The sequence below is a fragment of the Homo sapiens genome, chromosome 17 (assembly GCF_000001405.40).
Source record: "Homo sapiens chromosome 17, GRCh38.p14 Primary Assembly".
NCBI classification, from domain to species: Eukaryota; Metazoa; Chordata; class Mammalia; order Primates; family Hominidae; genus Homo; species Homo sapiens.
The window spans coordinates 30,254,103-30,280,085 of NC_000017.11; the positions used below are offsets into that span (position 1 = coordinate 30,254,103).

Here is a 25,983-nt window from a genome sequence, read left to right on the forward strand (position 1 = left end):
GACTAAAGAATACAAAGAATATAAAATATATTTTAACATATTAGAAACATTTTATATTCTTTGTTGTCTTTGTTCTATGAGGAATTTCACCTCACTAACAAACTGTATGTGGCTATTATTTTTTGCCATTTTTAAAAAAGTTATGACAAAATGAAGGTATCTGTTCTGCTCTGACGGTCTGTCTGGCAGCATGGAACTAAGAAGCTGGACTACCAAGGCCTCATTCAGTCACTGCCAATCTTTCACCTGGCAGCTATAACTCAAGGTTGAAGAAAGGCTCCCAGAAAGGAAAGCAGAAGCCTCACTGGCACTTGTCTTATATTTCAAGCTTCCTAATCATCAGGGAGAAACCATTTCACAGAACAGGAATCACTTTATAATGAAGTTGCAAAGACTGTGTAGCAACATGAAGAAATGTTTAGGTGATAAAAAATAGATTAGAGTGGCATATCCAGTATAATTACAACTATGTTACAAATATAGATGCACATGAAAAAAAACCATGAAAAACAATAAAAAATGAAAATTTTATGCCATGGGATAGATTTTCTCTCCAAAATTTCTGAAATGTTACACTGCTTTTTAACTCCTTAAAAGTTACCCAAACTCATCATAAAAAGTCTTGGAAACATGAAAGGAGGAGAAAGAGAAGACAAATATTAATTTTTGAGTTGCCTACAATCCCACCACCTTGGGACACATGTTCAAGCTCTGTCAAATTTTACATGCATCCTTGATAAAGTTTCTGCATGTACTAGACCCTTTAATTTCATAAAAATGAGACATCATACATGGTGGTCTTGTATTACAAAGTAATACACATACTGTTTTCCAATTAATCTCTTTCCTTACTGATAATGAAATACATCTATCTACATCATAATTTTTAAGTACCGAATCTACATGATTAAATCAAAACACGTTTAATCAGTCCCCTATTGTTGGAATCCGGATTTTTTCATGCTTAGAAACAATACTGTTATAAACATTTCTGTAAGTAAATCTTCGTGCACAGCCTTAATCATCTGCATTAATGCACTGTGTAATGACATTCTGGTCAACAATGAACCACATATATGATAGTGGTTCTGTAAGGTTATAATGTATTTTTGCTGTACCTTTTCTATGTTTAGATACACAAATAACACTGTGTAACAACTGCCTAGAGTATTCAGTACAGTAACATGCTGTACAGGTTTGTAGCTTAGGGGCGATGGGCTATACCATCAAGGTTTGTGTAAGTACACTCCATGATGTCCACACAATCACAAAATCACCTAATGACGCATTTCAGAAAAGATCCCTGTCTTAAGCAATGCTTATTAATTTTATTAATAAATAAATGTATTAAATTTCCTTATATCCTAATCAATATCTGGTATACATAATTACTAACTTTCTTCTTGGATCCAATTTGAGCCTTTTCTCCTTTTATGTGTTTGCTTGCTATTGACAGTTTTCTTTTGTAAAGTGTCTGTCTGAGAACTCTGTTCATTTTTTAAGAGACAAGGTCTCGCCAGGCACGGTGGCTCATGCCTGTAATCCCAGCACTTTGGGAGGCCGAGGCGGGCAGATCACAAGGTCAGGAGTTCGAGACCAGCCTGGCCAGCATGGTAAAACCCATCTCTACTAAAAATACATAAAATTAGCTGGGCATGGTGGCGTGTGCCTGTAGTCCCAGTCACTCGGGAGGCTGAGACAGGAGAATTGCTTGAACCAGGCAGGCAGAGGTTGCAGTGAGCCAAGATTGCGCCACTGGACTCCAGCCTGGGCGACAGAGTGAGACTCCGTCTCAAAAAAAAGAGAGAGAGACAAGCTCTCACTCTGTTACCCAGGCTGAGTGACACAATCACAGCTCACTGCAGCCTCAAACTCCTGGGGACATGCGATCCTCCCACCTTAGCCTCCCAAGTAGCTAGGACTACAGACGTGCGCCTCCTCACCCACTTAATTTTCTTAATTTTTGTTGAGATGGGGTCTTACGATGTTGCCCAGGCTGGTCTTGAGCTCCTGGGCTCAAGCAATCCTCCTGTTTTGGCCTCCCAAACCTCTGGGGTTACAGGGGTAAGCCACTACACCTAGCCCTCTGCGCATTTTAAATTGGAGCTTTTTTCTTTTTCATAGTCATCAGTTACAGTACACTCTATATTTTATATTGGTTGCAAACTTTTTTTCCTATTATGTAACTGGCCTTCTAATTTAGTTTATATTTTCTAGCCTACTAACAATTTTTATTGCTGTTTGGAGGCAGAGTCTTGCTCTGTAGCTCAGGCTGGAGTGCAGTGGCGTGATCTCAGTTCACTGCAACCTCTGCCTCCCGGGTTCAGGTGATTCTCTTGCCTCAGCTTCCTGAGTAGCTGGGAATACAGGTGCCCACCACCATGCCCAGCTAATTTTTCGTATTTTTAGTGGAGACGGGGTTTCGCCACTTTGGCCAGGCTGGTCTCGAACTCCTGACCTCAGGTGATCTACCCACCTCGGCCTCCCAAAGTGCTGGGATTACAGGCGTAAGCCATCGTGCCCGGCCCATTTTTTGTTTTTATTAAGTCAAATTTATCAATCTTTTTCTTTTGGTTTTTAACTGGTGTTATGCTTATAAACATTTTTCTGCTATTATAATGAAAAAAAAAAACAAAAAAAAAAGAAGGATAAGTGAGAAGAAAACATCAGAAACAAGACTCTCAATGAAAAACTCCATTACTCACTAAGGCCTTGGCATAGTCCCCAACTATGAAACAGATAATTTCAACAGATAATTGAGTAGTGACAATTTGTCAACCGCTTCTGTTAGGTATCCACTGGGTGAAGCATGACCTAATACCTCCTTGAATTTGTACAGGGTATGTTGCAAATGTGCAAAATGACACAATGCCTATGGAATGGTGTCCAGAGATGTTGGATCTGTCCTTTTCAGTATCTAGAAAAATTACAAATGCACTTACCCTCTTCATTAAGCAGTGTCATTTCTGGGACTTCATCCTATAGATACACAGTACTTACATGCATACAATATGAATTTATGTGCAACAAAGCTAATATTTATTCGGCACTTACCGTGTGCCAGGCACTATTCTAAGCACTGTACATATATATAGTAACCCACTGCAATACTGTTTGTAATAGCAAAGACTGAAACAACCCAAGTCCCATTAGTAAAGGAAATGGTTAAATAAACTGTGGTAGATCCAGACAATGGAAGATAATGAAGCTGTACTGATGTACTGATAAGGAAATGTCCCCAAGATACGCTGTAAGTGAAGTGAGGACAAGATGCAGAGCAGACGACCTAGTGTGCTACCACTAGTATAAGAAAAGAAGACAATAATATATATGTGTATGTTTGTACTAAAAAAAATAAGGAAAGGCATACCAGAAATAGAAATAATAACCTAAGAGAGAGGCAGGGGAATGAAGAGTGACAGAGATGGAAACAAAATTCTTTTTCATATACCTTTTTATATTTTGATTTTGGAACAATGTAATTTCATTATCTATTAAAAGAATTACACTTTAGAAAACAAAACAAAAAAATACACACATATATACTCCAAAACCCTGTGAGGAGCTTACACTTCACAATGCAATTTCACATCACTATCCTTGTTTTGATTCTTATTCTCACAACAATGCTGTGAGGAAAGAGGGCAGTAAGTAAAGCCAACATCGAACCCAGGTCTTAAATTCAAATTCCATCTTTCTCATAGGGCTCAGCTTCTTCCAGTTGAGCACTCTGTGGGCAAAGAGACTTGGGAGGTAGTTATGGCTTCAGCAACAGATAGCATTTAGTCTAGCTCAGGTACCTAACTTTGAAACAAACTCCATCTGCTCACAAACCCCATATCAACAAACAGGAACCCTATTTTTGTTGGGTCCATTTATAATGTATTTTGTATCTTTTATTTATTTATTTTTTAGAGATGGAGTCTCACTATGTTGCCCAGGCTGGACTTGAACTCCTGGGCCCAAACGATCCTCCTGCCTCAGCCCCCTGGGTAGCTAAGACTATAGGTGCATACTACCATGTTTGGCGAGCTATTTTGTCTGTTTAAATCAAAGAGACACCATGTGTTCTAAGTGCATGTATTTAGAAAGATAGATAACAGGATGGGTTGGATGTTTAAAAAAAAAAAAGCCAGAGGAAGAGAACCAAAACCACCCCTTATAATTATGACTGCCATTTGAAACAGTGATCTGAGAAGAGGCTTCTTTTTCCTCCAGAGAAAACATAGAAGTCTGGCTATGTGGTGAGGACACATTTACATTAATAAACCATTTGCTGATAAAAGAAGAGATACTCTTATAGCCGGATATTACTTGCGGCCTCTTTCAGAAACAAAGGTTAGAAGGTACCGTTTCCCTAGTAAATATACTAGGAAAAATGCAGGGTGGAAAATGTGGTAGAGAAAAGGGGTTGTTTTGGCTTGTGGTTTGTATTTTTTAAACCATTAAACCACCACAAAGTTCAGTCAGCAGAAGTGTCCACAGCCTGAGAAGTGCCCCTCTACTAAGGAGCCCAGAAGAAGCCTGTTCACCTCCCGGCTGACTTCTTTCTCTAGACCAATGAGCATGAGCTAGGCAGCCCTGAGGGCACACACAGCTCTCCAGGATCTCTGAGGGTGAACCCGGAGAGGAAAGCACAAATTTAGATGCCATCCAAGGGTCTTGTTTTCCCACTGAAACTCAATGACTTTTCTCTCACCCCAAACTATCGCTACTCCTATTTGTTTCAGACAAAGTCTGCTTGTCGGTCACTCCTCAAAAGCTCTGTGAATGGCAAGCCACATTATTTCTTGGCTTCACTCCTCTGACCTGTTCAACGCATGCTCCAAATGCCAAGAGCTGCACTTCTCAGCCACCATTTCTCTGGCTGGCCTCCCTCTCCCTTTTCAGAAAAAAAGCCACAGCCCTAACATCCTCCCTAAAGAGGGTCACCCTTGAAGAATCCCTAAGGAGGCCTCACAGTTCCAGTCACTGACCATCTCCCTTGCAGTTTATCCCGTGTGTGACTCTGCGCTTATTCTTGTGTTTATGTTTTACATATTTATTCTTACAATAGGTTACAAACACCATATGGGGCCAAGATTTACAGCCTTAATTGTCCCAGCTTCAATTCCTTGCAACCCCACTATACATAGCCTTTGAAAGAACGAAGTACTGACATGCTGCTGATGGAGCATAATAGGACAGCTGGGCTTGCACCCTGACCCCTCCTGAAGTTTCCAAAAACTACCTTAAGTCCAACCCAACAGCCTTTCTCCTTGACCCATTTTCTGTCTGCTCTGCTGTTCCACTATTTACCACCATGTTCTTCCTGACGCCCTCTAGTCCTGGGCTTCCTAGGCGCTCTCTCCAACCCCTCACCCTTTTCAATCACCTCAGCTTCCATGTCTTCCTATTGTCTCCCCACTGAGGGGAGGTACTCCCTAGTTCTTCTTCTGTTAACTGCCCTCTTGGAAAAAAAATCATCCCTTCTCTGCTTTTCTCGGTCTATTTATCCTATATCTTACAGTCTGAGGAGCACACCATGAATGCCACTTCTGTCACATCACAGCCCTCTTCAAATCCCCTTCCTGTGTCACAGGTGAATAAGTATAAATTCCTCTGAGGGTCAGAGACATTCATTCCACCATGGCCTATGCACGGTTCCTTGCATCCCATCAATAAATAAATGTGAGTTGATGCTACTGCTAATGGTTTTTTCTCAGCACTAAGTTTATTCACCTCCACTGCTTTCTCTCACGACACTAAGCCCACACTATGGGTCATCTGCCCACTACACTGGTGATGTAGCATAATGATCACATTAGGGCACTGAATTTTTAGAGATCTGAAACTGGAACCATGGGGCAAGTTAGATGCCCTCCTCTAGAAGGGAAAGGTTAGGGAGCTTCATGTTCTTGTTCTCTTGCCGTCAGTCTATAGATAACATTAACAACAGTAGCAATGGGAGCTAATATTTCTAAGCACTTCTTATGCGCCTCACATGGTTCTCACAACAACCCTACGAGATAGGTCCAATTATTATCCCTATTTTACAGATGAGAAAGCTGAGGCTCAGACAGGTTAAATGCCAATGACCACTGTTACACAGCCAATAGATGGGTTAGCCAGGATGCATACCCAGGCAGTCTGGCTCCAGATTCTGTGCTTAACCTCCATCCTTCTTAAACCAGTGCAAACACCTTGGAGACAATCTGGTGAAAATTACAGATCTTATCTACAGGTAAAAACACATCTATACACAAAACTCTACATTCAATATGAGGAGATTTCTCCCTGAAGCAGATGCCTCATTGCAGGTTAGGAGCTCTGTCACATAGTCTGTCCTTGCCCAAATAATGATAGCCCTCTCTTAGTCACACACTTTGATCAGGAAGCACCAGTGAACTGGAGAGTATGTGCTTCCTCTATTCCATCTACATACACTATTTCTCAGCCAAAGTCATGCAGGCTTTTTGGTTAATAAAGATGGATGGTGAAAAGCCCTTCTGAGAGGGCCGGGCGTGATGGCTCACACCTGTAATCCCAGCACTTTGGGAGGATGAGGTGGGCAGATCACTTGAGGTCTGGAGTTCGAGACCAGCCTGGCCAACAGGTGAAACACCGTCTCTATTAAAAATACAAAAAAAAATTAGCTGGGCATGGTGGCAGGCACCTGTGATCCCAGCTACTCAGGAGGCTGAGACACGAGAATCGCTTGAACCTGGGAGGCAGAGGTTGCAGTGAGCCAAGACCGCACCACTGCACTCCAGCCTGGGTAGACAGAGCAAGACTCCATAACAACAACAACAACAACAACGGCAACAAAAAGCCCTTATCAAAGAACCCAGAATCCAGATTAATGGTAGCAGCACTTTTCCCAAGCCTGGAGAGACATGAAACCCTCTGAGGTGACAAAACAAATTTGCAACTTGCCCCTTTCTCGGAAATCAGAAACCTGTGCTTTTAAGTTCTACAATTCACTCTTGTTTCAGCAAGTCTGGCCCAACATTGCCTAGTTTCCATTATTGTACTAGAGATCCAGAACTGAACCTCAAACAGACCTGCAAATAACTGATTGTCTTTTGTAAGTAATACATAGGGAATTTTAGGGAAGCTGTCTGTGTCAAATTAAGAGATTTGAATTCCAATTCTATCTCTGATTCTGTGCAACCCAAACAAGACACAACTGTCAGTAAGTTTTAGTTTCTTCACATAAAACCTGGGTATAATCACCCATGTTCACATCCTGAGTTACTCTACTCTGATGTCATGAGGAGAAATAAATACAAATACATTAGTGAACTTTGAATTCTCACGAAGCAAGATGCCCTGTAGCTTTATGTCCTGAGTACCTCCAACAGAAATATGGGCTGTTCATAACTCCTTAGATTTATATAACAATATACAGTTTGAAAAATGCCTGCATACATTATTTCATTTGATGGCTACATACAAACTGTAGGAGCTCATAAAGAAACAAATTGTCCATGTTATTGACATAGAAATGTGACACTACAATGAGTTAAATTACTGCCCAGCATCTAAAATCAAGAATTAATTATTAGTAACTGTCTCTCCACAACTCACCTGGTTCTACAACATAGCATTTTATGAAGAATATGTTGATTTTTGTGCCTAGCTTTGAATATACCATCTCCAAAATCACTTGTGGCAGTTGGGCTGGTGAGACAATTAAAGGTCATAATGTTGGTTTTTAGGAAGCAGCAGAAATCTACATATAGTCTGAATTGATAACATGTTTCTTTCTAATCTCTAACATGCCAAAGTATCTTTAACTGAAACCATTTAGAGGCTCCTTTCTAGAAGGAAGTCTGAAAATTTTACTAAAATGAAAGAAATCAGGAACAGAGAGGCTCACTTGTAAGAAAAGATTAAAAATGTGGGTTAAAAACAATTTCAAATGTTCATGTATCTGAAAGGAACAAAAGCAATGTGAAAAATGGAAAACTCATCTTGGTTCAAAATGAAAACCAGGAGAGACAAAATTTTTAAAAGGTAAGTATTTTCCTTCAGTGAACATTGCAGAATTAGAAAATATCCTCCATATCTTCACTTAAAAGTTGTTACTTATCATATTGAGAAACTGGACCAAATAAGCATTAAGAACTATATTATGATAATTCCACATTTAGAGTTCTGCTGTGTCAGGCTCTAGAAATGGAATACAATCTCATAACTAAGTGAACCAATCACAAAGAAGTAAAGTTTCATAGTAAGACTGGTTCATTAGAAAGACCATCTAGGAATTTAATTTATTGACTATCAAATACACTATTATTTGCATGACAGAATATTGATAACTACTGAAGGTGGGTGACAGGCATATGCAGGGTTCTTTAATACAATCCTGTTTACTTTATATATGTTTAAAATTGTCCAAGATAAAAAGTTAAGAACTAAATAACCTTGGCCGGGCACGGTGGCTCACGCCTGTAACCCAGCACTTTGGGAGGCCGAGGTGGGAGGATCACAAGGTCAGGAGATCGAGACCATCCTGGCTAACACAGTGAAACTCTGTCTCTACTAAAAAATACAAAAAATTAGCCAGGCGTGGTGGGGAGCACCTGTAGTCCCAGCTACTTGGGAGGCTGAGGCAGGAGAATGGCGTGAACCTGGGAGGCGAAGCTTGCAGTGAGCTGAGATCGCGCCACCGCACTCCAGCCTGGGCAACAGAGCAAGACTCCGTCTCAAAAAAGCAAAAACAAAACAAAACAAAAAAACAACTAAATAACCTTATTATAAAGCAGCATGGACAAAATTCAGGGAAATTTTGGGTGGCTGCATAGTTTCTGACTTGCCTAAGTCACAATGTGCTAACATGTGACAAACCCTCACAGAATGCCCCAATCTCCACTCTTTACTCAGATTCCCAGCCACAAATGATGCTCTAGGGGCCTTTTCTCCCAATGTCAGACATTTACATAACATCTCCAGGTCCTTCATACAGTTTTATATCCCTTCATCCACTCTTTCTGGTCACCAATGACCATGAACTGACCTGTTATTTCTTGAGTGGACGACATGCTACTAGAACAGGGAAGGTGAGAGAAAGCACAGTTTAGTGGTTAAGAAAACTGGCTCTGGTGTCAGGCCATCTGGGTTATAATTCTGGCTCTATCATTTACTAGCTAGGGGATCTGCAGGTCACTTTGGCTTAGAGATTAGGCTCTTCTCAGATGAATTTCTGACTAATAACGAGAGGAATCAAAGGTGACTTCCTTGATTTTAAATTCTTAAATATTTTATAAAATATTTTTATCAACTTTTCAAAATGAAAGATAATATATCAAATCCCGAAGTCTGTTCCCTCACCTAATTGTGAAATTCATTTCTGATATGATCCATTAACAAGGTACAAAATGGATAGTCAAGTATTTTAAGAAGCAGGGGAGAAAAGAAACCCAGGTTGGTATTACATGTTAGATATGCATCCAATTTTCAGTACAACTGACTATGAATACTAGAATTCATCAACTTGAAGTAATCCAACTGGTACAGTAAAGCAAAAACTGATTTCTCCTTTTATGTCCTCCTGCTCAGAAGAAACCTTCTGTCCATTTTTGGAATAGTCAGGTTATGTGTTACAAAAGAGTTTCTGGGCAGGAGAGCCATGAACATGACCAATGGGGAGAACCAAAGCCAGGGCTGGGCAAAGGGGAAAGGCAGCTTGCCCAGGTATCTTTGCTCTGTTTATCTCCAGCATGTATTATCAACACTGCTTTTTCAGAAACATCAATCTTAACAGTCAGAAATCCCAAAGAGAATAGCAACAAACTGTTAACAATGTTATCTACAGAAACAAAATCCCAGCAATGCTTCTTAAGGTTGTCATATCTCCCAAGAGAGCATAAACAGAGGTCCTACCTCAGACCTGCCAGCCAATGTCCACTAGGATGACAGACAAGAAGGCCCTGCTGGGATAAACACATATTGCCAACATAATAACATACTATGCGCTCTCCTGAGGTCAGGCCAAGTGTGCCAATTAAATTAGATCATGTTTTCTTTCCTTCCTTCCTGTTAAGTTAGAAAGAACATTACCAAGAAACACATGAGAATAATTTATTTTGGCTTGAATGAACGACTCCCTACCCCCACTTCAGTTCTATTTCTTATCTTTTGGCTCTCTACTGAAATGCTTTGCTGTGTATAGTCACAGGCATTTCAGTTATTTGAGAACAACAAAAAAGTTAATCTTTACTAGATAGCTGCAGATTTCACTAAGAAGGATTACAGGAGAGTTACAGGGATAGCAAGATCCCATATTTTACAGTTCTCTAAGCATAATAATGAAATGAGTAAGTTAGCAAAAGCAAAACTTTTATTGAGTAAAAGTAAAGAGGTAAAGCTAAATGGAAAAATTATATACAGTAAAGTGACCTAAAATTATCTTTAAGTATTTAGGTTCAAAATAATAAAGACATTAACTCACACTACATAAAACACATTTTCCTGATTTTACAAGTGTTTATCCTCTCTTAACCAGATAACACTACTATCTTCAAACTCACTGACTATTACAGATGGAAAAATATCGCAGCAAGCTGACGGATCCAGGCTCATCTAAACAAATATAACTTTAGTTCTTTTCCTAGGTGCTAACCTATATGATAACAAATCCAATTATAGGAACCAAATTAGACCAGAAATGAAACAGAAGCTGCAGGGGGTTCATTGGAAGCAACAGGAAAACTTTAACTCAGTATCTTATGTTTGCTAGAAATAATCAAATCTTTCAAATTTTAAGACAAGTATCCATCTCTTAACTATCACCAACTTACAGATATAACTAAACTGTGAGTTATTTTTACTCTGCTAACTTTGCTGAGGTTTAAACCCTTCTCTACTTGACCCTAATGTGTATTTGTCTTAAAATAAAATTCACCTTACAAGAAACCACCAATTTTAAAAAGTATTCTAATTCGTAGTAGTTAACTTAATAGGCACCCCTAAAATCACAGAACAATTATAGAAATCACAGAAGGTAGACATGTAACTATCTGATGATGAAGAGAAATGCAGTAACAGCACTTGTATTTGTTTACATATAAACACTGGGCTGCTGAGTATCACAGCATATTCCAGGGACAGTCAGCCAAAATCCACCAGTGATTATTCTCATAGAGAGATGAAAAGCCCTCGAATGACAAATAAATGGTCTTCAGATTTTGGCTATCACATACAAGCCTGTGCTGCCCAATCAGCATACTAAAATGCTGTCAAGTTCAAAACTCAGCTTAACAGGCTCTTCTAAAACAGCAATTTTTCAAATAGGAGCTATGGAAGTCCCATATGCTCATATCCAAACCTCCACACCCCCTCCTCTACCTTTTACCCTTGGAAATCCTACGGCTGTGAGGAACATAGCTGGAAAATCACGATTCTAAACACAGAGAGGGGCAACAACAAAGAGTTGCTAAAATTTCTTTTTCTTTCTTTTTTTAAAAATAAAATGCCTGGCTAATTCCTGTTGGGTAAAATGTATGCTCAAGTTTGTTTCCAAATATCTCTGAATGTCACTTCTCTGGCTTCCCTACCTGGTTCTTCTCAGTCTTCTAACTAGTCTACTAAGGTGCGGTTAATGTTTTTCCTAGCCAGAATCCATTGGCTAAAAGAAAAAGGGACTCTGAGAAAGAACTGGCTATAAAATGCCCCCAGCACACATGAATCTACATGCTCACAGGTACACATATGCCATGGTGATTGCCACTTTTGGTTTGGAACCCTAAAAATTAAAGCGTAAAATCTCTTTCAAAAGCTATTACTAAAGACAGTCTTTAAAAATGTGGTCTCAAAATTTTACAATAATATACCCTAAACTGTTAATCAACAGTGATCTCTAGGTGGTTGGATTATTAGAGACTTTTTATCTGTATTTTAAAATTTTTCTACAACTCATATATTACTGTGTTATTTTGTTTAGTCTACTTAGTGTAAGTTATGACTTCTCCCTAGGTTTTGATTTGCCAGTATAAAGAAGTGCTAAGTGGTAAGCAAAGTGTTCATTTCCACTTTAGGTATGACAACTTCTAAGGAGTCTCTAATAAATGCCTAAAGAAAGCTTCTTGCCAGTCCCATTCTCCCATACAGAAGGCTTCTGACTTTCTAGAGTACTGATGTAGTAGATGAAAATACATCAAGGCTGGGCGCAGTGGCTCACACCTGTAATCCTAGCACTTTGGGAGGCCGAGGCGGGCGGATCACGAGGTCAGGAAATCGAGACCATCCTGGCTAACACGGTGAAACCCCGTCTCTACTAAAAATACAAAATCAGCTGGGAGTGGTGGCGGGTGCCTGCAGCCCCAGCTACTCCAGAGGCTGAGGCAGGAGAATGGCGTGAACCCGGGAGGTGGAGCTTGCAGTGAGCCAAGATTACGTCACTGCACTCCAGCCTGGGCGACAGAGCAAGACTCTGTCCAAAAAAAAAAAAAAAGAAAAAAAAAAGAAAAAGAAAATGCATCAAATGCCATATAGCAAGTGTCCTGGCAAGGGCACTCAACCTCCTCACTAGCCAAGCGGTCTACAAAGAGGGGAGGGTCAACACAGTTTGCAACAAATGCAGCACATAGCAGTCTCAGAGCCAACCTGGGAGTTCAGGCATGCCATAATGGTCAGGAGAATCCTGGGGGCAAATCAGATCCTCAGATTTTTCTGTAGAATAATCTAGTCAGTGGAGCCAATTACTGAGAAATCCTCCACACTAGAGCAGCTTGACACCCAGACAGGCAGAGTAGAGCAGGCCCAGTCACCTGGAGTTAGTATTACCAAACTGAGCTCACCTTTGTGGCCATGGTCTTCACCCCATGAATTCTCCACTCTCCATTTTGTGAAAGCACCATCCTGATCATCCTGCAAAAAAGTGGATGATGGTGAGTAGTCTGAAGCCAGATTCTCCCTGCTGAGGTGTCATATAATTTTAGCTCTTCTGTAGCCACTTGAAAGAAACAGCCTGCTCTATACAGGCAGCCTGCTCTATACAGGCAGCCTGCTCTAAACAGTACTTGGTCAGGGCTATATATTTCCTACGATCACTAAAGGGATACTCCAGTAGAAATGGAATTTGAATCTCTTGGGGTAAAAACATAATAAACTAACAAAGCAATAAATACTATTTCATCCTTTCTATTCTATTGTATACATAAAATAGGCATGTAAAAATGCTACTTGACTAAGAAAAACTATATTAACCTACTAAAAGCAGTAAACATTTGAAGCTGGGGATTCTTGCTTTTAATCAATCAATATTGATTAAAGCAAATGCATCCTACTTTATTTTAGGAATAATTCTAAAACCTGGTCAGAGTCTTTTTTAAACAAAACAAAACAAACTCATCATACTGCCTGATTTTCTACTTGGGGAAACCAAATAATGATACTCTCCCAAATGCATTCTTTTACTGATCCAGTTACACAAATATTGAATTTCAAAGAAGAGACTGAATGGCAAAGCAAAAGTAAAAAGACCATTTTCATAAACAAAAGCCAGGCACTTCTACTGTTCTCCTTCTTCCATCTTCATTATTAAAATAAGCTCAATTTTGGTCTTCTTAAAGGGACAGTGATACTCATCACAACAACCTTCATTTACAGCCTTTACTATAGTGACACAGAGAGGGACAAGAGGAAGGCTCCATTTGGGAAAAGACTTTTTTCTTTCATGTTTACCCAGGACATTTACTGATGTCAAGGCAACTTAAATCTTTGTAGCATGAGAAGAGCACTCACCCCTGTATTATCGCCTAATGATTTCATCTGTCAACTCCCACTTGCAAATAACTATATGATGAGTCTCATCTATATGGGATTTGGTTCTCTTTGGCTCTGCTAACCCAAACACTCCACTCTTGGCAGTTTTCTTGGATCTCAGTAATTTTCTGTCTCACAAATAGCGCCAACAAACTCACAAGTTTCACACACCCTTACCTGTACTAATCCTTACTCTTTGCCCCCAAATCCTTTAAAACCATATCGTTATATACTATACATTCTGCAGCTGGCATATTATATGTCTGTTTTGGTTTTCTATTCCTCCCACTGTAGTCCAACTTTACTTTCCTTTTAAATATCACTGTTAGAATCGATGTCACCTAAAGTGATATAGTTACTTGTTACTCTAAGTCTGAAAATGTTTCCTATGTTTTCCCCTTGGCCAATGAATTCCTGGAGTGACCTAGATCAAATTGTTCTCTGGGTCATCTACAATTACAAAATGATTAATACCTGGAACTCCCTTATAGGGATTCCATGATATCAGCAACAAAAGAAAGAAAATTGTGGAAATATAACCACTAGTATGCATTTACCTCTGTACTATTACTCAAGTGTAGTTCAAACTCGTTTTTGGGATCAAAAACTCTAGTGGAATGAAGAGAAAATGTTCAATATAAAATTCCAGGTATAATAATATAAATTCTGCTTTATACCATTAGCATGTAAGGTAGCTCCATTTTCCTAAGGAAACAACCCATGCTAATCAAAGAATGGAAGTTCCCAAGAAAATGACAGTGGTATTCATTATTTTTATTCCTGAAAAATAGGAGTATTCTATAACAGAGATAGAAATGATAAAAAGCTGAATTTTTCTTGGAAATTACAAGTTTTTGTTTGTTTGTTTTTTTAAAAACAAACAAACAAACAAAACAAATTCTCGGCTGGGCACAGTGGCTCATGCCTGTAATCCCAGCACTTTGGGAGGCCGAAGCAGGTGGATTGCTTGAGGTCAGGAGTTCAAGACCAGCCTGGCCAACATGGCGAAACCCTATCTCTACTAAAAATACAAAAAAAAAAAAAAAAAAATTAGCCAGGCCGATGGTGCACGCCTGCACTCAGGAGGCTGAGGCAGGAGAATAGCTTGAACCCAGGAGGTGGAGGTTGCAGTGAGCTGAGATTGTGCCACTGCACTCCAGCCTGGGCGACAGAGCAAGACTCAGTCTCAAAAAAAACAAAAAAACAACAACAAAAAAACACAAAACAGAACTCTATATAGTTTAAAAATTTATTTAAAGAACTTTAGTTTAGTTATAAAGCACCCTTATTTGAAAAACCTTTTCATGTATTTTATTTATTTATTTATTGTTTTTTTTTTTTTTTGAGACAGAGTCTTGCTCTGTCACCCAGGCTGGAGTGCAGTGGTGCAATCTTGTCTCACTGCAACCTCCGCTTCCCGGGTTCAAAGGATTCTCCTGCCTCAGCCTCCAGAGTAGCTGCTGGAATTACAGGTGCACGCCACCATGCCCAGCTAATTTTTGTATTTTTAGTGGAGACAGGGTCTCGCCATGTCGGTCAGGCTAGTCCTGAACTCCTGACCTCAGGTGATCCTCCCGCCTCAGCCTCCCAAAGTGCTGGGATTTCAGGTGTGAGTCACTGCACCCGGTCTAAAATTCCTTTTATAACCTAACTTTATGTTTTGTTTATAATTCAAATGTGAGAATTTTGTTAAATTGGGGTGATAACACTTAAATCACCTTTTGCTGTTTTAAAATGACTTTTCTTGATCTACATAAGTAATGCAAATTATACTCCACACATTCTCCTGGGTAACCCTAAAAACCTGTTTCTTGGTGTGGGAGTCTCGCTAACTACAGAGCTGAGATTACTGACGAATGGAATAATGAGGAAAACAGCTCGCTGGTTTACAAGACCTCAACCTTTACATTTATTTATGAAAACTACATGAGGATCAGGAGTATCAGCATTAAGACTGCCTCTTAAGTTCAGGGCACCTTTACACCATACTGTGTTTGATCTCATATAAAACTGAGAATACCTCAGAGTTCTACTACTTAAAGCACTAGCCTTATAATTTGCAGGAATGTAATTAAACCTTTAAGACCAAGTTTTGAATACAGAGAGAGCACAGGGATCTTAGATGCTGTGGGGTTGAAAGGGCACCCTTCAAGTGAAGTAGTTGGAAGAGGTGAGAAAAAGGTACAGAAAGAAAACCCCATCCCACTCACAATTCTGCATAGAGTATAAAAAGCAAATCAGGACTTTTAGATAGGCTAGTTAGGAAAATGTGGCATAATGATATGCTAAGATATTTCTAAACATTTTAAAGATCATAAATCTAGTGGATAGGATAGCAAAAACAATTCTCTATCAAACCATTTTCTAGCTGGGTGCGGTGGCTCATGCCTGTAATCCCAGCACTTTGGGAAGCTGAGGCGGGCAGATCACCTGAGGTCAGGAGTTCGAGACCAGCCTGGCCAACATGGCAAAACCCCACTTCTACTAAAAATACAAAAAAATCAGCTGGGTGTGTTGGCGGGCACTTGTAATCCCAGCTACTCGCAAGGCTGAGGCAGGAGAATCTTTTGAGCCCCAGAGGTGGAGGTTGCAGTGAGCTGAGATCACACTACAGCACTCCTGCCTGGATGACAGAGTGAGACTCCATCTCAAAAAAAAAAAAAAAAAATGATTTTCTAGAACAATTTATATAAGGTAGTTATTCTGTGACTTTCCAGGAATTAGGCTAGAAAGAATATTTTTGCTTGTGGTGGTAAAGAATTAAAGTAGTTCAAGTTCTTCCTTCCTGATGATCCTGAGCACAGAGGTGAAAATATCTATTTTTACTGACTGGAAGTGAGGAGTTTATTTGTGAAAGATAAAATTTCAGTTGTTTCCAACTCTATAACCTATAAAAAGTGGTATTACTATACACACTATTTCACAGGAAATTCAAAATACTTTACATCCAATTTCCTGAAGCTCTGCATATAACTAGAAATGGGTATGGAGTCCACAAATTACTGTTATTGACATTTTACTGCAAAAGAATCTGAATGACAAATGAAGGGAAATCTGAACATAGGTCATCAAGATATGAACACTTTCAGGGCACATTTTGATTCCTTATAAAGTAGAAGTTATCTTCTCTCAAGTTCCCTTGCTGACTTCTCTTTAAACCATGACCTTCCAAAGTTACAGAAACAGTTACTTGGTCGCTCCCTGCTGACCCAAATTCTCCTCATAGAAAGTTCCTATTTTTATATTACCTCTAAGCACGCAGCCAAGCCCCAAGTGACGCAGGTACGATGTCTTACTTGGAAACTAACTTTTAACAGAAATCATATACACTATGAATGAAGCTTTGTTGGGTAAACAGTCTACAGGAGAATGTAGATCCATCTGTGCAAACACTCCAGCAGGCATGCTGAGGGTCATACCTTCTCTGAGACAGCAGTGAAGGTCATGGCGTGGGTCATAAGTGACTCACCAAAAGTCAGCCTCTCCGCTTTATTCATGTTCTTCAAGGAGACACCAAACACTAACTCATGGTCATAGCTGTAAAAAGAATGATAGTACAAAATAAAGGGAGTACGATCATGGGGAAAACTGGCTTTTGGTTGTAAAAGGAATTCAGAAGAAACTGAAGGGGCTCAACAGCTCCAAATAAATAAGGCTCTAGCTGTAGCTCTTCAGAAAGAATATGGAACATGCAGAACTTAGTCTCTCAGTGGGAGTCCATTCTCTATGTGTCACAAGAGTATGCAGGAAAAAAAGGAGATGATTAAACATAAATTCTCCACATCAGAAGCTGACAAGTTTACATTGTCATTTAGGCAAGAAAACTTTAAAAAATAATGAAAAAAGCGTTTGAAGTAACTTCTTAGAAAACTGATCTCTTTTGAGCTGGTGGAACCAACCAGTTTCTGAATTCATTTAAATCACTGCTGATTAAAATTTAAATAAATAATGTCCAAAATATTGGGGAATATTTTTGCATAAGCACTACACTCACATTGTTAAATACAAAGAAACAAAAGGCAAAATACATGTGAGAGAGGTCCTTGCATGTTCTAGTTAGTGTGAGAGACACACTTGGGAGTTGCATGTACCTGTTTTCAAAAATTTTTTAAACCTCATTAATTCTTTTTTTTAGCAGATTTCTCTATCAAGATATTTACTCAACTTCCTACAAGTAACAACTATTTATAAGTAACCCTAAAATAGAGAATGGTGAACAGTCAAGGAATCCTATATGATTTAGTTTACAAATTAACCTTCATTGTCATAAATGACCAGGAGGAATGCTATAAAGTATGCATGCAAATTAGTCCCACTTGTCACAATGACAAAATACAAAGTTACCAAAGTAACATAGCAAACGGGGGCTCTGGAAAATCTTTCATTACACTCCCAAATGCACTGAACACATTTCCGCAATAGTCAATTATTTTTTTAAAGTGTCTTTCTCATAGAGGATGGCTTTTTAGGAACGCCCAACGATTTCCACTCAGATAGAAAGTGGGATTTTGATGTCCTGGGTTAGAGTGTTTAAGTATGTGGAGTTTCTGCTATGAGTCCTCAAACTCTAAAGGATGCAAAGAAAGAGACGCGCCCTTAGGTCAACCTTCATCTTTGGATGAACCTCGGCAGAGTCATTTTGTACCAACAGCACACTCCAACAGCAACAACCCACAAATGACTTTCCATTTTAAATTTCCTGCACTCACAGATTCATGTCACTGAGGCCCAGCTTGCTATTGAAGTGTTTTCCAACATCACAGCCAAACCACACAGCCTAGAAACAGAAGAAAGAGGAAGAAAGTCAACATAAACCCCATCTTCCTATTATACCAAAGAAGTAAAAGATGTTTTAACCCCAATGTGCAAAATACAGAAACAATACCAACCTCTCCATCTTTGATGGAGGCAGCAACCATCTTTTTCAGGAAGTCAATGGGCTGGTTGTTGTATAGAGTTTTTCTCCCTCCAACCATATTGCTTAAGTATTCCACTGTGTAAAGTTTGTTGTACTTGTGCTGGGGCCTAGGGTCATTCACTAAACAAATCTATCAAGATCAAGAACACATTAATTAGGGCACAAAACCAGGAATGTCAAGCAACACACAGCTCTCCTCTAGGTTCATGTTTCCATCAAGCTCATCATCTCTGCCTACAAGCTAAGTACTACAGCCACATTGTTAAGTAACAAAGAAACACAAGGTGGCAAAATACATGTGAGAGAGGTCCTTGCTTATTCTAATTCGCGTAAGAGACACAATTAGGAGGTGCATCTACCTGTTTTTCCTACTAGCAAGAACTGCTCCAAAAGCAATTTTTTTTTTTTTTTTTTTGAGACAGAATCTCACTCTGTCGCCCAGGCTGGAGTGCAATGGCGCCATCTCGGCTCACTGCAACCTCCGCCTCCCAGGTTCAAGTGATTCTCCTGCTTCAGCCTCCCAAGTAGCTGGGATTACAGATGTGCGCCACCATGCCTGGCTAATTTTTGTATTTTTAGTAGAGACGGAGTTTCACCATGTTGGCCAGGCTGGTCTCGAACTCCCGAACTCAGGTGATCCACTCACCACAGCCTCCCAGTGTGCTGGGATTACAGGCATGAGCCACCGCACCCGGCCCTCAAAACTCATTCTGAAAAATAACATGCACTGAGTAAGAAAAATTGGAGAGCTAATCACAAGGCCCCTGTTCTCAAGTTACAAGACAGGCATCTGCTTGGAAGAGGATCAAGAAGCCAATAAAAGGAAGAGGCTCTGATCCTCCTACTAGGCAGATGAGGAAGACCTAAAGGGAACAGGAAAAACTAAGATTACTCCCTTCAACAGGAGAGTTCCCCGAGGGGACCTCAGTGCAAAAGTGCTCTGAATCCACGATAAGAAATACCCAACACACTTTCATTGTTTTGCACTTGAGAATGATTCTGGTCCTATACAGGGGCGCATGTGGGAATTAAAATGACTGCTGGCTTACAGTTTAAAAAGTCTCTGAAGAGGAACATTGTGGAAAAGCTGATAAATCCTGGCACCACCAACTTCATTAGCTGCATAAAATACTTCAGAGGAAGTGGGGAAAAATGTTTGTTTGCTGTCTAGTTTGATACTCATACATGCTAACCAAGAATCTTATACAATTCCCTGTGGTTAACAGCCATTTGAAAGTAAACAGCCAGTGACTACCAGTGCCATTCACCAACCTTATCTTCCATATTGAAGAGTGGCTTGACATGTTCCCTGTAAAACTCCAAGGGTGTTATGGGGCCAATTTTCTGATAATTTTTATCTTTGTCTCGATATTCCCAGGTGAATGTCTCTGGTGGATTACCCAAACAGATGCACACCACTCGGAATATCTGGAAGAGAGGAGGAGGAAAGGCGAGCAATGGTTAGGGGGAAATGTTATTTTTTTCACCTCTTCATTTTCCTTAAGCTTAGGAAACACAAGAAGTTAGTGGCTAAATTCAAGCTAAAAATTTCACAAGAAATCTAATACTGCGTCAAAAACTGGAAAGCCGATGTCTGAGATTTGTTATCAGTCAACTTATGAGTTCTCAAATAAACACTGTGAACAATGCGATTCTGAAATGTTAACATTTAGTGCTTAGTACTTGTCCTGAAAATTTAAACTTCCTTAGCCAAGAATCTGTCTACCATTGATACCCAGCAAGATCTGAGTTGCTGCTCTGATTATTTTTCAAGTAACCAAAAAATGACAAATTTTATAAATGGATTTCCTTCCCTTTATACATTGATGTTTTCCTTATTACAACAGGGGTCTCTAGTCATAGGAAAGTAACTAATTTTTCAGCTGGAGTTGGATGACAATGCCTGTTAAAAGTATTACTAGAAGAGGAGGGCCAGGTGCAGTGGTTCATGCCTGTAATCCCAGTACTTTGGGAAGCTGAGGTTGGAGGATCCCTTGAACCCAGGAGTTCAAGACCAGCCTGGATAACATAGTGAAACCTCATCTTAAAAAAGAAAAAAATTAGCTGGACGTGGTGGCTCATGCCTGTAGTCCCAGGTGCTCAAGAGGCTGAGGAGGGAGGATCGCTTGAGCCCAGGAGGCAGAAGCTTCAGTGAGCCATGATCGTGCCACTACACTCCAGCCTGGGTGACAGAGCAAGACCCTATCTCAAAAAATACAAAAATTAGGGGCACATGTTCTCAGGATCTCCTGAGGGCTGAGTCATGGTTTAAAAAAAAAAAAAAAAAAAGTACAAAAACTAGCCAGGCGTGGTGGCCTGTGCCTGTGGTCACAGCTACTCAGGAGGCTGAGGTGGGGTGACCACTTGAGCCCAGGAGGCAGAGGTTGCAGTGAGTTGAGATCACACCACTGCACTCCAGCCTGAGTGACAGAGTGAGGACCCTGTCTCAAAAATAAAAAGAAGAGGAGTGACTTTTAGTAATAAGGTATAATTTTTTGGGTTGTGAGACAACATATTTTCTAATGATGTCACAACACCTTCAAGTTAACATCATTACGATCCAAGGATATACTTTATATTATTTTCATTTTATAGAAATGCAAAAACAAGGCTGGGCACAGTGGCTCACGCCTGTAATCCCAGCACTTTGGGAGGCTGAGGCAGGTGGATCATGAGGTCAGGAGTTTGAGACCAGCCTGGCCAACATGGTGAAACCCTGTCTTTACTAAAGATACAAAAGAAAACAAAACAAAACAAAACAAAAAAACTAGCTGGGCATGGTGGTATGTACCTATAATCCCAGCTACTCGGGAGGCTGAGGCAGGAGAATCCCTTGAACCCAGGAGGCAGAGGTTGCAGTGAGCCGAGATCATGCCATTGCACTCTGGCCTGGGGGACAGGGCGAGACTCCATCTCAAAAAAAAAAAGAAAGCAATGCAAAAATAGAAAAAGAGATACACCCTGCACAAGGACAGAATAAAGAAAGTATTTTATCTTCTATATCAAATGTCCTTGTCTTTTTAAAAACATAACACTATGATCTGCCTGTCCCTTTTGCACCCACAGTCACCACCCTGATCCAATCATCTATTACCTGCATTATTTATACTACACATTTCTATCCGCTATCACATTCAACAGAAACAGATTTTATATTTACCAAGTGTGCCTATATTGTGCTAGATACTATGTATTTGCTAGGTCCACGTAATTCTCATAATACCCTCTCAAGGTATATTTCCCTCCACTTCCCCTTCACCTTTTTTTTTTAAATCAGAGATTGAGACACAAAGAAACCAAGTAATTTACTTAAGGTCACACAGCCAGCAAGTGGAAAACCACAATCTAAACTGAGGTCACATGCTGTCAAAAACAACAACAACAACAAAATATTGCTCCTTGGCTACAGGATTTAAAAAGGGAAGATGTACTGACCGTCTACTTTGCTGTACTATCTTTCACTACCATATTTCTTAAGCCTCTCAACAAAGATGGTGGATATTATCCCCCTTTTACAGATAAGGATATCAAGGTTCAGGGAAATAAATCACTTTCCTGAAGTCATAGAGCCAGTAAATGGCAGAATTAGGATTTGAACTTAGGGCTGACTTTAATATGTTGTTTCCAAAACTCCATCTATTTACCATTTACTGTAACTTTCTAGATTTCATATAACTTGTCTCCCATAAAAGATTATACACTTCTTAAAGATAAGAACCAGATCATGGATATTTTGTGTCCTTTATAGCATCTAGCAGTGCTGGCGACATGACACAGATACACCAGTTGATCTGAACATTGTTCCATTCTCCATATCACCACAGGAGAATTTGAAAAGCACTACTTTTCTCAACTCACGTCCCTGTTGAAGATCCAATGTTTCCCTATTACCTCCCATAACAAATCCAAACTCCGTGACCTAATTCCTTTTTCTTACTTTTTAACTTAGGCAAAACATATGTTTAGTGTGTAAAACACACTAACAATTCGTTTTTTAAAAACATACATATATACCCATGTAACCATCATTCATATCAATATACATAACATTTCCAGGCTCTGGAGGTTCTCTGGCTCCTTTGCTGTTAAGTAACCCACAACTTCCACCAGATAACCACTGTTTTTACTTTATAACCATTGATTAGTTTTGCCTGTCCTTTAACTTCGTATAAAAGTATTCATAGAACACATTATCTTTTGTGTCTGGCTTCCTTTGGCTGACATAATGTCTGTGAGATTCACACACATTGCTGTGTATATGAGCAATTTGTTCACTGCTGTGATTCTATCTTAACAGAAGCAAGTTAACTTAGAGAAGAAGTTATGCTTGCCTGTCATTTTGTTTTGTTCTGTTTTCCAAGAGAGAACCTTCCTTTATTAAGATTTACTGTGTGTGTTACGAGCCTGAACATCTAGTCATTAAACCATCTCTCTTTTAACGTTATATCCTTCCCAAGTTGGTTTCTACCACAGAAAGGAGGCAGAGTATCACATAAGCAACCGTAATTGAGTTACTCTAGCCAAGGATTAATGAGCTCTGTTTGGGATTCACATTCATTTTGTATTTACTCAGTGCCAAGGCTACAAATGACAACTTTAGGCATCTGTCATTATGAAGAAGACATTGCCACTGGTAACTATGGTCAAGTCAATGACAATGAAGGTGTACAGTCAGAACATACTTAGATTAGAAAGGTTTTAAAGACCTAAATGATGTGTATTTTCAACTAGTAACTACTGTTACATGTGTATCTACATGTAGTAGTGGAACCATTTCAATCAATTCTCAGTTATCCAACGGTGGTAAATTCAGCTCAGCCAGGCCCTGGCCAAAAAAGGAGAGGCAATGCCAGGCCCAACTAAGATGAAGATAACTAAGTGAATTTCTGGTTACTTTTAAACATATTCTAAAGATAAATACAAATGTTTTACACTATAATTTGCAAAATACCTTATTATGTACTTGACTCCCTGTTTAAAGTAAAAAGTGTTAAATTCCTCCTTCTCCCAAATACATTAGAGGAAATATGCATTTCTGCTATCTAAATGAATTCTATAGTGAGTCCTTTTATAAAACAATGCTTATGCCCTTCACATATATTTTATAAATCTGAATTTTAATAAAAATATAATTAAGGCATAAATAAGGATAAGGGTGATATTTCTTTTAGATTCTAGTAAAACTTTGTAACTTGAGACATGTTGCATTGTTTTATACTATTTGTTTACCATGACTATAAATTATCCAAAGTCATTAATATTTAAGTCAGTCTGTAACACTTTGGAAGGAATATCTGACTCTGAGCCAAATAACAATAGTTAATTAAATAAGCTCTCATTAAAAAAAAATGCTCCAAAGAATAATTTCCATGGTCTCTGATACTATATTTTCTTGATAAGAGACTCTGCAGTTCTGAAATAACATTCCCTGGGCAGTGAGCTTTAGATATCCAACTCTGCTCTCTGGTGGGCAACACTGGAGTGTCACCTGCTTCTCACAAGATCTACTTGGCATCCAGGACAAAAAGATACTGAACAGTGAACACAAGAGATTATACAGAATTGAGTAAAATAAGAGTACAACCATATCCCTCAGAATATAATTACACATTAAATTAATATTAAAACCAACAATTAGCCCATTTAGGGAAATGTATTTGTGACTTTAATTGAAATTGCTCACTTCCCATCCCAGTACTTCACATCTTTTTTCCTTTACTTTTCTCCATTGCACTTATCTTCTGGCATATTATACTTCTTATACACTTTGTCTTTCCCTACTAGAACATCAACTACACAAAGATAGGTATTCTTTTCTGTGTTGTTCACTGTTTAATCTCCAATGCCTAGAATAGTGTCAGATACATATGTTAAGAAATATTTAACGAACACGTGACTTTTTTTGTGGGGGGGAGCGGGGGACAGAGCCTCACTCTGTCACCCAGGCTGGAATGCGGTGGCACGATCTCGGCTCGCTGCAACCTCTGCCTCCCAGGTTCAAGCATTTCTCATGCCTCAGCCTCCCAAGTAGCAGTGATTACAGGCATGCACCACCATGCCTGGCTAATTTTTTGTATTTTCGGTAGAGACAGGGTTTTGCCATGTTGGCCAGGCTGGTCTTGAACTCCGGGCCTCAAGTGATCTGCCTGCCTCCCAGAGTGCTGGGATTATAGGCGTAAGCCGCCACACCCAGCCCCACATCTAGCCCCAAGCACTTTTGTCATTTCAAACCAAATTTAGAACCAATCTGATAAAGGGGGTGGACTTGGAATATGGGCTTTCCAAAATGCTGGAAAGCTGAAGGCAAAGATATACACGGCTCAATGACACCTGGCAACTGATTCTGCTTTTCCTCAACTCCTCAAACGAATAATGATGTGATCCTATTAATTCTAAATCTGGTTTAAAAAGAACAGAAGAAGCCAATGATTCTAATTATTCCCTTAAATATAGATTACTGAGAAAGGTCCCCTAAAATTGTGATATGAGTCCCAGAGTATAAAGGGCAGCCTGCCCAAAATTGAGCTAAATTTTTTGATTGATGGAGACCCTTTGCTTGTCCCCTGGGGGCAGTTGTATGTCAAGGGAAGCTACACTGAGTGCATCTGTACTTGCCTCTTGGGGCCATTTGTCTTCTGATTAAGATTTTATATCTTTAGCTAATTAAATAGAGAATTTAAACTAACCTAAAACAATGTGGATTATATATAGTCCCTTTCTAGCAACCTATAACTAGAAAAACTGCAGCTGGTGCCAGAAAGGTCCAAGCCCTATTTCCAGTTTAAATATATTTCATAAGAAGGTGAATTATAAAGAAGGGTCCTACCTCTCAAGTCTCATTTTATAAAGGAGCTCCATTGTAACTGATCTCTAAAAATATTTTCAGGCCAGATGCAGTGGCTCATGCCTGTAATCCCAGCATGTTGGGAGGCTGAGGTGGGAGGATAACTTGAGCCTGGGAGGTTGAGGCTGCAGTGAGCTGTGATCGTAACACTGCACTCCAGCCTGGGCAACAAAGCAAGATACTATCTCAAAAAAATAAAAAAACAAATCTCCCTAGTGGAGAGATCTGTTTATTTTAAATGACTTGCTGAAGTGTAGCATGGTAAAAGAAACAGAATCAGGAGAGAAAGGTAAAAGAATGAGATATGAAATAAGGGGAAAGAATGTGTAGATCCCAATTTAAAGACAAATGATATGGGCCTTAGTTAATTCCCACGCCCATGACAGACATCAAGTGAGAGGAAGAAGGAAAGATGCAGCAGTTGAGAGTCAGTTATAAATCTTAGAAGCGTGAGAACCTTCAACAGTTTTTA

General features: G+C 39.5%; 1 protein-coding gene across 1 annotated transcript in view; it reads right to left on the reverse strand.

Annotated features, from left to right (window-relative positions):
• BLMH (bleomycin hydrolase) overlaps nucleotides 1-25,983 on the reverse strand; it is a 43,742-nt gene that overhangs the window by 5,900 nt on the left and 11,859 nt on the right. The window contains exons 7-11 of the mRNA NM_000386.4: nucleotides 19,940-20,095; nucleotides 18,639-18,797; nucleotides 18,459-18,526; nucleotides 17,169-17,286; nucleotides 12,783-12,852 (exon numbers count right to left, since the gene is read on the reverse strand). Coding sequence (NP_000377.1) covers nucleotides 12,783-12,852; nucleotides 17,169-17,286; nucleotides 18,459-18,526; nucleotides 18,639-18,797; nucleotides 19,940-20,095 — 571 coding nt within the window. The remainder of the gene's footprint in view (nucleotides 1-12,782; nucleotides 12,853-17,168; nucleotides 17,287-18,458; nucleotides 18,527-18,638; nucleotides 18,798-19,939; nucleotides 20,096-25,983) is intronic.